This window comes from Homo sapiens, chromosome 21, assembly GCF_000001405.40.
Source record: "Homo sapiens chromosome 21, GRCh38.p14 Primary Assembly".
Taxonomy (NCBI): Eukaryota; Metazoa; Chordata; class Mammalia; order Primates; family Hominidae; genus Homo; species Homo sapiens.
The window spans coordinates 36,653,661-36,665,687 of record NC_000021.9 but is presented as its reverse complement, the minus strand read 5'-3'; the positions used below and the strand labels follow the sequence as shown (position 1 = coordinate 36,665,687).

General features: G+C 46.5%; 1 long non-coding RNA gene across 2 annotated transcripts in view, besides 2 other annotated features; it reads left to right on the top strand.

The window, feature by feature from the left end:
* LOC105369308 (uncharacterized) overlaps positions 1 to 12,027 on the top strand; it is a 66,311-nt gene that overhangs the window by 33,304 nt on the left and 20,980 nt on the right. The window lies entirely within an intron of this gene.
* Positions 5,566 to 6,065: an enhancer, noted in NCBI's record as "H3K4me1 hESC enhancer chr21:38031921-38032420 (GRCh37/hg19 assembly coordinates)". NCBI's record gives its function as "activates a minimal SCP1, AML or CMV promoter by ChIP-STARR-seq in primed H9 embryonic stem cells {active_cell/tissue: H9 hESC(primed)}" and the evidence as "EXISTENCE:reporter gene assay evidence [ECO:0000049][PMID:30033119]".
* Positions 6,066 to 6,567: an enhancer, noted in NCBI's record as "H3K4me1 hESC enhancer chr21:38031419-38031920 (GRCh37/hg19 assembly coordinates)". NCBI's record gives its function as "activates a minimal SCP1, AML or CMV promoter by ChIP-STARR-seq in primed H9 embryonic stem cells {active_cell/tissue: H9 hESC(primed)}" and the evidence as "EXISTENCE:reporter gene assay evidence [ECO:0000049][PMID:30033119]".

Genomic DNA, 12,027 nt, shown 5'->3' with positions numbered 1-12,027 from the left:
CTGAGTGTTTCTGTGATTCTGGATCAGAAATCATCTTGTTTCTTGAGGGCTCACCCCCTCCACCTCACTCCAGCTGGCAGGGCTCATCTCTCTCCAGCCCGCTAAGCCAGAGACCATTAGCCCATGCATTGTTCTCCCTTCAAAATATTGCTAAGCTTTCTCATATTCCACGGTTTCTTCTCCTGACCTTGTTGTCTCTGCAAGTGTGTTCCTTTTTTTGCCTTTACTGTCATTTTAGTGAGATTTGAGGAGAGTGTAGAGATAAACACATGTTGGCCGGGCATGATGGCTCATGCCTGTAATCCCAGCACTTTGGGAGGCCAAGACGGGCAGATCACGAAGTCAGGAGTTCGAGACCAGCATGGCCAACACTGTGAATCTCCATCTGTACCAAAAATACAAAAATTAGCTGGGCGTGGTGGTGCATGCCTGTGATCCCAGCTACTCGAGAGGCTGAGGCAGGAGAATCGCTTGAACCCAGGAGGCAGAGGTTGCAGTGAGCCGAGACTGCGCCACTGCACTCCAGCCTGGGTGACAGAGGGACTCTGTCTGAAAAAAAAAAAAAAAGAGAGAGAGAGAGAGAGAGAGAAACACCTGCCTAACTGGAAGCACCCTACAGTATCTTGATGTCTAGAGTAGCCTAGATTGGTCCTGTATAGACAGGAGACCTCCCTCCTTAGGGAGCTTAAGGGCCAAGAGTGGGTCACAGAGGGACCAGCGGGGTGTCCCGGATTGCCCCTGTTCTCTCTGGAGGCCAATCCCAGTGCTAAAGTGCAGTATACCTAAGTCACAGCTCCTCACCTTACAGGGGAAGCCTGAGCCCAGAGACCCGAAGTAACCCGCTGCGTGCCACTGCCAGCAAACGCACGACAAAATGACAAGGCTGGCAGGGAGATCTGGGCTGGGGTGTGGCCAGGGACAGCAAGTTGTCAGACTTTGTGCAACAGCGTTGTTGGCCTTCAGATTTGGCAGATTTTCATTCATTCGGGGAGTGCTGCCAGGTTTTGTTAATTAATTAAATGGAATTTATTAAATATAAAATGAAATGTCCATTTTCCTCTCTTCCAAGAATATGCCAAAATTGTAGCTTTACTCTTGTTTGAATGCTAATATTCTCTCTCGCTCTTTCTCTCTCTGTGTGTGTGTGTGTGTGTGTGTGTGTGTGTGTGTGTGTGTGTTTAAGGAGGAGAATAGCTATTGGTTCTGGAAAAAGTGTAACTAGGCTCTGAAATGGAAGTGCCCACTTCTGACCTTGGCTTCCAAACTCCCCTTTTCCTTCTGCACCCCCTCCTCATGTTGCCACTTTCTCTCTGGCCTCACAGCCTTGGCAGTGCTGGCCTCTGCCTGGACCCCTCTCCCCTCTCCCTTCTCTTCCCCTCCTCACTCCTGCTGCTTCTCCAGCTTAGATGCAGCTTCCTCCAGGAAGTCTCCTGAGATTTCCAGATGAGGGGAGGGCACTGATGAGGCTGCCCTGGGTGCCCCATTCTCTGCCTCGGGGGATTTGTCCCACATCATTGTGCTATCACCCCGAGTCTGTGAGCTCTGGAAGAGCAGCTGCCAGGCTTGCAATAATCTCTGCAGTAACCCCGGGCTACTGTCAGCACACCACAAATACTCAAGGGACTGAATGAAAGAGGTGGAATCCATCATTCTTTCTTTATTTCCTTGGCTTGAATCCCGCCTTTCATATTCATATTCATATCATATTCCATTTCTGATCTGTTTTTTATATTAAAAGTGTCATCACAAAAATTTAGCTGGGTCATTGCCGTCCCCTTCTAGTTGAGCATTTTGCTATTTTAATGCAAAAATAACTCTTTGAGGGAGAGGTGAACAAAGCTGTTAGATAAAATTAATTGGAGTCATTAAAAGTGAGTAAGTTTTTTTGGGAAAACCAGATTTTAGGGGCCAGTCCGGGGAAGCTCTGCAGGGGAGCAGCAGCTCCCGGGGTTCACCCCGCATTGCTCTCTGCTTTGTTCTGTGACCGCTGGGCTGTGGCAGCTGACTGGTGGTTCTCACTGGTAGCTGCTTAGTGGCGGTGACATATTAATTGAACCTCACTATTTCCAGGTGTGTGGCACACTCCAGGGTCACCAGTGCAGGGGGTTCATGTGTGTTCAATTACTGCTGCGATATGAAGGAATGCAACATGTCATTGTTCAAGTGTCAATTACCACCCCTCGCGGGGCTGCCTGAAAACTAAACCAATCAGCCCCTTCCCTGTGGAGCGTGTTCTGTTTGGGCTTGAAACGCTGTAAAGCACGCTGTAAACCATGTGCGTGTTCTCGAGAAACAGGGAAGAAACAGAGAGCCGAGAGGGGAAGGGCTAAAGGGCTGGTAAATTTATCTGGAAAGTTCAGGCATGTTCCCATTTATTTCCAGAAGGCACTAGGCAGTGTACAGGATATAAGATTGGAATTACAAAGTCACAGAGAGCTGAAATGATTCACTCAAGGATGCAACTATTTGCTAGGGGCCAGAGATGATGAAATATCTGTCGTTGTATATACCGGAGTTTTTATATGAAGCTAGTTTATGGACTTTACTTTTTTTTTTTTTTGAGACAGGGTCTTGCTCTGTCTCCCAGGCTGGAGTGCACTGGCACAATCATGACTCACTGCAGCCTCGACGTCCTGGACTCCAGCAATCCTCCTGCCTCAGCCTCCGGAGCAGCTAAGACTTCAGGCATGAACCACCACGCCTGGCTAATTTTTTTTGTAATTTTTATAGAGATGGGTCTCACTATATTGCCCAGGTTGGTGTCAAACTCCTGAGCTTAAGCAATCTTCCTGCCTCAGCCTCTGAAAGTGCTGGGATTACAGGTATGACCCACAGTGCCTGGCCAACCATATATATATATATATATATATATATATATATATATATATATATATATATGTATATGTGTGTATATATATATATATATGTATGTGTATATATATATGTAGGCCAACCATATATATATATATGTATGTGTGTGTGTATATATATATGTATGTGTATATATATATATATATATATATATATATATATATTTTTTTTTTTTTTTTTTTTTTTTTTTTTTTTGAGATAGAGTCTTGCTCTGTCACCCAGGCTGGAGTGCAGTGGCACGATCTCAGCTCACTGCAACCTCCGCCTCCAGGATTCAAGCAATTCTCCTGCCTCAGCCTCCTGAGTAGCTGGGATTATAGGCGCACGCCACCCTGCCCAGCAAATTTTTGTATTTTTTTTAGTAGAGATGAGGTTTCACCATGTTGGCCAGGCTGGTTTCGAACTCCTGACCTCAAGTGATCCGCCTGCCTCAGCCTGCCTTGGCCTTCCAGAGTGCTGGGATTACAGGCATGAGCCACCGCTCATTTTACATTTTACATTTTAAATGTTTATAGCTAGCATTTACGTGAAGTGCAGAAATATACAATTATCTGCAAGTCTTGGCCCCATGTATATTAATCTAAAGTTGTGATAATGTGGCAATTGAAACATGAAATTAATTTATGTAAAACGTTGAAAAAAGCGAAGGTCTTCTGCCTGCTCCTGCTGTTGTGAACTGTCACCGAATCCTTTCCCCTTTGGATTTATTCGGACCGGCACGAGGCCATGACACACCAAGCCTGTCCCAGGAGGCCCCCTGTTGGAGGGATTGTTCTTTCCTTCCTTCCTTTTTTAAAAGGCATTTTTCTTAGAAGCCAGGAATGGTTATTATAATTAGTATTTATTATACTGTCTTCCTTCCTCAAAGTCACAGTGATCAATCATGTTTACCCTCCTTTAGTGCTGCCCTGTATGGAATAGATATTATCCGCCTTTTTCATAGCAACAAAAAGAGGGTTAACATTCTCATCCCAGGTCACCTGACGAATTATTCCATACTGGAAATCAAAGTGGCTTCAGCTCCACCACTGCTTAGACAAACAAGCCGCATTCCCACTCTCCATTCTTTCACTCTGGGGTGCTGGTAACCCTCTTTTGTTGACCTCTGTGTTTGTTCATCAGTGAGCAAATACTTGTCAAATACCTACTTTTAAATCTGTTCATTGTTGGTTGAAAGAATACAGATCAAATTCCAAACCTCAAAACCACACTGAACTCTTCTCCATAGGAAAAGTGGTCCTTGTTGGCCACTTTGATTTCATGCCGATTTCTTTTCTTTTTCTTCTTCTTCTTTTTTTTTTTTTTTTTTTTTTGACGGCATGATCTCTGTTCACTGCAAGCTCCGCCTCCCGGGTTTATGCCATTCTCCCACCTCAGCCTCCCAAGTAGCTGGGACTACAGGCGCCCACCACCACACCCAGCTAATTTTTTTGTATTTTTAGTAGAGGCGGGGTTTCACCGTGTTAGCTAGGATGGTCTCGATCTCCTGACCTCATGATCCGCCCACCTTGGCCTCCCAAAGTGCCCATTTCTTATTCTTTCTCCTTCCTTCCTTCCTTCCTTCCTTCCTTCCTTCCCTCCCTCCCTCCCTCCCTCCCTTCTTTCTTTCTTTCTTTCTTTCTTTCTTTCTTTCTTTCTTTCTTTCTTTCTTTCTTTCTTTTTTCTTCCTTTCTTCCTTTCTTCCTTTTCTTTTTTTTTGACAGAGTCTTGCTCTGTTGCCCAGGCTAGATAGAGTGCAGTGGCGTGATCTCAGCTCACTGCAACCTCCGCCTCCTGGGTTCAAGAGATTCTCCTGCCTCAGCCGCCCAAGTATCTGGGATTACAGGTGCCTGCCACTGCCCCCGGCTAATTTTTGTATTTTTAGTAGAGACGGGGTTTCACCACCTTCATCAGGCTGGTCTGAAACTCCTGACCTCGTGATCCACTTGCCTTGGCCTCCCAAAGTGCTGGGATTACAGGCGTGAGCCACCGCGCCCGGCCCTTTCCCCTCTTTCTACATCTCTTCCTTTAGTCCTTCCCTTCACAAAGCCTCTGTGTAATCACGTTGCCTTTCCCCTGGAATCTGGACGTCGGCTGCCGAATACATTGAACCCTATGGCACTGCTACTATTCAACGATTCTTAGCTCAAGGCTGCTTGAGCTGTAGCTTGTGCCATTGTAATCAGACTGCACAATACCTGGAAAAGAATTTTTAAAACAACACAATGCCATACAAATCTAAGGTGTGTGTTACTGCTTTTAATATTAATGTAACTACCTCACTTGTTGCTGGATTATCAACAAATGAGGTAGTTGCTTTAATTATCAACTTTCATTGATAATTTACTCATGAGAGCCCTCAATGAGGATCCTTCAAAAGAGCCATGTTCTCCCCTTTTGTGGGTGGTAAGTGGGACCTGATCAGGAAGGAGCACAGCTGGGTGTGCCCTCGTGGACTCTCAGGTGGACAGAAATTGGATGAGCGCCCTGTTGTGGATTGGCCGACCTAAGAGAGAGCAGGTGTCCCTGAGGGTAAGGCCTCCTGCCTGCCCAATTCATGCACCAGCAGTTAGGCTGCCATGTTGTCCTCATTACCCGAGAGCAAATCTCTTTCTACATAACTACAACTGCATTAATTTATTAAAATATAGCACAAGGTAAAGGAGAGAATCTGCTCTGATTCTCTGCCCTTGCTTGGGTTTCCATGGCTGGAATTTGCAAGCTGCTAAAGAAGACACAGCCCCACACACAAAACGGCTGAGAGGAAGACTTTTTGGGCTATCAGGCTGGGCTGAGCTGGAGCCCAGGGGAGTGAGCTGGTGCATGGGGCCCACAGCCTGGTGCCTCTGATTTTCTGATGACCTGGGCTCCAAGGTGGTAGTTGGCATGACCATGTTAATCAAACAGTTCAATAAAAATTCACTGAGGCCAGGTGTGGTAGCTCACACCTGTAATCCCAGCACGTTGGGAGGCCGAGGCAGGTGGATCACAAGGTCAGGAGTTTAAGACCAGCCTGGCCAAGATGGTGAAACCCCATCTCTACTAAAAATACAAAAATTAGGCCGGGCGCAGTGGCTCACTCCTGTAATCCCAGCACTTTGTGAGGCTGAGGCGGGCGGATCACAGGGTCAGGAGATCGAGACCATCCTGGCCAACACAGTGAAACCCTGTCTGTACTAAAAACACAAAAAATTAGCCAGGCGTGGTGGTAGGTGCCTGTAGTCCCAGCTACTCGGGAGGCTGAGGCAGGAGAATGGCGTGAACCCAGGAGGTGGAGCTTGCAGTGAGCTGAGATCGCGACATTGCACTCCAGCCTGGGCAACAGTGCGAAACTCCATCAAAACACACACACACACACACACACACACACACACACACACACACACAATATTAGCTGGGCATGGTGGCGGGCACCTGTAAAACCAGCTACTCAGGAAGCTGAGGCAGAGAATTGCTTGAACTCGGGAGGCAGAGGTTGCAGTGAGCCGAGACTGCACCACTGCACTCCAGCCTGGGCGACAGAGTGAGACTCCGTCTCAAAAGAAAAAAAAAATTCACTGAATGGGCTTATTAACAATCCCAGCCCTTGTCTCATACATGGTCTCAATTCAGAAAGCCTTTTCCTCCCTGTTATCTGGCTTGTGCAACGTTCACATGACCTGTCTTAGCCCAAGTCCCCAAGAAAACAGAGCCTGAGGCAAGGATTAAGGGCAAAGGCTTTATTTGAAAGGTGCACTCTTTGGGCAGTGAGAGTGTGGTCAAGGGGAAGTGAGGCAAGCAGGATGGGACGCAATGCAGCATGCCGTGTAGACAGAGGCCATTGCCTGGCAGGTATACTCATCAGCTCCATGGAGTGTCCCCAGATGGGCTGTGTGGAGTAACTGTGTTGAAGAGTAATAATTAGAGGGAGAAAGAGAGAAGGCTCTTGTCTGCTAGGCTTCCTCCAATCTCCTGCGTCCCATTGGCCCAAGTCCACACACTGGGAGATTAACTCCCCTGTACTATCAATTGCCTCATCCAGTTCCTTCCCCAGCCAGGGAGAAGCCAGATCCCATATCCTATGGTGTGGATTTCATCTGAGCCCCCACACACCAGAAGGAGCTAGAGATTCTGGGTGTGGAGCTGGTTGATTTCAGGCAGTAAAATCACATGGGCCCAAGGAAGTTGATCACCCATGGAGGCAGAACCCACAGATGAGGGCCTGGGGGAAGGGGAGGCTGAGAGAACCTGAGGAGTACATTAAGTGTGTCCAATACACGAGTCCACTCGAATGTCAATTAATAAATATTTATTAAGTGCCTCCTCAGCTCAGGGCTTCTGAGGACAAATCACACATGGAACATTAATTACAGATGCAATCAGGGGATTCCCACCTGTAGGATGGTCCAGGGGTAAGATACATGCCCAAGAGCATAAATAAAGTACCACGGCATCCAGGGGAGAGGGAATGTCTGCTAAACAATGCTGGACACACTCACTTGTTTCCAAAAGCTTATTAGTGCTACAAGCCTCAAGATTGAGCTGCTGGTGCTATCCAGGTATTATTTAACCTTATTTCATTTTTAAATTTGTATTTATTTATCTTTATATAATAAATAAATAAAAATATTTATAAATATATAAATATATAAAAAATAAATAAAAATATATTTTTATAAATAAAATTTATTTTATATAATAAATAAATAAATAAAATAATAAATAAATAAATAAATAAAGACGGAGTCTCGTGCTGTTGCCCAGGCTGGAATGCAGTGGTGCGATCCCGACTCACTGCAACCTCTGCCTCCTGGGTTCAAGTGATTCTCCTGCCTCAGCCTCCTGAGTAGCTGGGATTACAGACGCCTGCCACCATGCCCAGCTAACTTTTGTTTTTTTTTTTTTTTTAGTAGAGACAGGGTTTTACCATCTTGGCCAGGCTGGTCTTGAGCTCCTGACCTTGTGATCTACCCGCCTTGGCCTCCCAAATGCTGGGATTACAGGCGTGATTTTTTAACTTTTATTTTAAATTCAGGGATAAAAGCGCAGGTTTGTTACATAGGTAAACTTGTGTCATGGGAATTTGTTGTAGAGAATATTCCATCACCCAGGTATTAAGCCTCATACCTATGGGTTATTTTTCTTCATCCTCTCCCTCCTCCCACCCTCCACCCTCAGAAAGGCCCAGTGTGTGTGGTTCCCCTCTATGTGTCCATATGTTCTCATCATTTAGCTCCCACTTAAAAATAAGAACAGGCAGTAGTTGGTTTTCTGTTTCTGCATCGGTTTGCTAAGTATAATGGCCTCCAGCTCCATCCATGTCCCTGAAAAGGACATGATCTTGTTCCTTTTTATGGCTGTATAGTATTCCATGGTATAAATGTACCATATTTTCCTTGTCCAGTCTATCATTGATGGACATTTAGGTTGATTCCATGTCTTTGCTATTGTGAATGGTGCTGCAATGAAAATACATGTGCATGTGTCTTTGTGATAAAATGATTTATATTCCTTTGGGTATATACCCAGTAATGGGATTACTGGGTCAAATGGTATTTCTGGCTCTAGGTCTTTGAGGAATTGCCACACTGTCTTCCACAATGGGAGTGTAAAGTAGAACTAATTTACACTCCCACCAGCAGTGTATAAGCATTCCTTTTTCTCTACAACCTCATCAGCATCTGTTATTTTTTGACTTTTTTTTTTTTTTTTGACGGAGTCTCGCTCTGTCGCCCAGGCTGGAGTGCAGTGGTGCAATCTCAGCTCACTGCAACCTCCGCCTTCCAGGTTCAAGTGATTCTCCTGCCTCAGCCTCCTGAGTAGCTGGGATTACAGATGCATGCCACCACGCCCAGCTAATTTTTATATTTTTAGTAGAGACTAGGTTTCATCATGTTGGTAGGCTGGTCTCGAACTCCAAACCTTGTGATCCACCCACCTCGCCCTCCCAAAGTGCTGGGATTACAGGCGTGAGCCACCAAGCCCAGCCTGTTTTTTGACTTTTTAAAAATAGTCATTCTGACTGGTGTTACATGGCATCTCATTGTGGTTTTGATTTGCATTTCCACAATGATCAGTGATTTTGAATTTTTCATATGCTTGTTGGTTGCATGTAAGTCTTCTTTTGAAAAGCGTCTGTTCATGTTCTCTCCACACTTTTTAATGAAGTTGCTTGTTTTTTTTTTCTTGTAAATTTTTAACCCTGTTTTAAATAGCAGAAATAAATGCATTTCTAGAATGCCATTTCATTGGTCACTGATTCAATAGAGATTTGTTGAGAACGTATTATGGCCTGGCCACGTGCTAGATGCTTTCTCAAATTGTCTTATTGGGTACTCACCCCTGCCCTGTGGAGTAAGTTTATCAGCCCTGTTTTATAGTTGAAGAGATTATGGCTTAGACAGGTTAGGTAACTTGCCCAAGGTCACGCAGGTTTTAGGAAGCAAAGCTGGGATTTTTTTTTCCCTGCGTTTCTGGCCGTATGGTATGAGGAAGTGAATGTGGGGCACAGTGAATGCCCACTTGGGTGCTGATCCACTCAACAGGGGTGTATTGAGTAACACAACTGTGACTCAAACACCATGTCAGTGAGCACCAGGTGCTGACGGGCTTCCGTGGCATGCAGGTGAGCCAAATAAAAAGTGGCTTAAAATCTAAACTGGCTCTCGCTGGCACCTGATTTTTTTTTTTAAGTAAATTAATTTTGCTGCTTAGGTTTTGTTTGAAGAATGTTAAAAGGGACAAACGTGTTGGGATTTGGCAGCCCAGTTTTGCTTAATAAAGAGACAAGAGGGTGAAGGTGAGTGTGGGGTGGAGGGAAGCATAGGATGGAAAACCTGGCCCCACAGAGCTGGACAGTGACAAATCCAGGGTTGAGGAGGTGATAAGGGAATCATAGCTCAATGCAGCCTTGAATTTCTGGGCTCAAACAGTCCTGCCTCAGCCTCTGGAGTAACTGAGACTACAGGTGTGAGCCATAATCCATGGATACATTTTGCAGAGACAGGTCTTCTTACACTGCCCAGGCTGGTCTTGAACTCCTGGCCTCATGATCCCCACACTTTGACCTCCCAAAGCACTGGAGTTAGAGGCATGAGTCACTGCACCTGGCCAGGATAAGCTTTGAGCAGTGGTCTGTGAGATCTGCTCTTGACCTGGGAGCCCACCTGTGGATGGAGAATGGGAACTGGTAAACAGGATTCCCAGGACACTGAGAGCCACAGCAGTGCAAAGCTGACACCCAAACTGGAGTTGAGCAGAGCCAAACGGGGGAGTCAGAGCTCAGGGAGTTTAGGTACGCTTAAAGATCCCCTTTCCAAGCATTGTTCTGTTGCAGAGGCCTCCCATCTTTAAGAGCTAGAAGACGAGTCTGAATACGAGTCAAAATGCACAAAACAGGAGGCCCTTGTTGGGATAATCAAGAGGGATCAGGTTTGCCAAGGAGTCTTCAGCGCATGGTGGTTTGTGAAAGCAACCTAATGAGAGAAGCCAAACCATTGGCATCATGGACTTCTTCACTGCTTCAAGACCAGGTCTTTCTGCTGGCCAGTCTTGATCAGATCCAACACTTGCCTTGCCCCAGATCCTGGTTCAAGTGCTTCCCTATCGACCACAGCATGGAGGGCAAGGAGTTCCTGTCCAGTCCATCGGCGTGAGTTTGGAATGTTATTTCCCAGTAATCAGAGTGTCTCCCAGGAGCTTGGGCAGGGAGAGGGGATGGAATTGGGAGAGAAGTTCCTTCCGCAGCTTTACCCCCACCCCTGGGGTGAACCAAGTCCAGACCCTGGATCTCTTTCTCTACCAGCTTCTTCTCTTTCTTGCTTCCCCAGAAGGTGCTGCGGGCACGTCTCCATCACCCCAGGCTGGCTGTAGATCAAGGCAGCAGTCGGGAAATCCCTCCTTTTGGAGTCACTGAGGCCTTTCCGTGGAGCCCCCTCCCCCTTGACAAATAAACCAAGGCATGGAGATCATTACACTGCACATTATTAGGCAAAATTGGATTAATTAACCTCGTCTGGCCTCTCAGCTTGGGAGACAGAAAAACGAGGTCTACTTCAAAAGCAGCATTTTGAAAATGTCAGCCATGACTTGGTGATAAATATTTATAAATATATATGCTGCGTATCAACAGGGTGGCCAGTGTATTTTTACATGTAAGTACACAAAGGCACTCTGTTGTTACCACGCATTCAAAGCAGGAGCCTTGAAAGAGCCATTATGGCTTGGGCTATGAATGTTTATTAAGAATAATATGCAAAACCGGGCCCTGGCTGAATGAGCCCATTGACGGGTATCAGAGCAGCCAGCCCGGCACGGCAGATCGTCAGGAATGATAATCATGTTCCTACCAGGACTTGGCCCTGGCCGGGAGAGTGATGTGGTGTGTTGGCGGCCCTTGCCGCTTCTGGTCGCGGGTGTTTGTTCTGGAAACGTTGACTTAGGGCTTGACCGCGTCCTGAAACCGTGGCACTCAGGCCCAGAGTCACGGATCCATGTAAAGGATTTTTCCCGTGATGGAGCTCCAGGGAGTAATGGGAGGCCTAGATGCACGTTCCAACTAAATTGCTTCCTCCTCCCTGTCCTGGGAGTGGAAACATTTCTTAACGGGTTTTCAGCAGCAGTCCCTTTCCAGCCTATCCCCTGCTTTTCTTGTTAGAGACTTTTTCAGCTTCATCCCTCTGGGCATCCCAAGATCTCTTCCTCATTTTAGGGGACTTTCCATTCATTTATTCAACCAACAGTTATTGAATGCCTACTGTGTGCCCACATGGACCCAGGAGTAAGATAGGAGAAGGTAAACACACAGTCCCTACAAGTCCTTCTGGAAGGAGCCATGAAAATGCAGGTAGACAAACCACACTGATGATTTAAACACCCAGCAGGCCCAGGCTGGGGAGGGCTAGGTTGGGGGCGGGTGGCGGCAGTTTCAGGATGGGAAGTTCAGGAACCCTCTCCAGCAGCGGCATGGACAGCTGAGGCTGAAAGAGCCCTCCAGGCAGAACATCAAGGGCAGAAGGCCCTTGATAGAGACCAATGGAGGGACCATCAAGGGCAGAAGGCCAGTTAGGTGTGGGCTTGACGTCTTCAAGGACCAGAAAGGTAGAAAGGGGAGCTTAGCAGAAGCCAGCAGGCAGGGCGCACGTGGCTGAAAGCCGGAGGAAGCCCATCTTGGATGTTAGTCTTAGAAAACCAAAGATG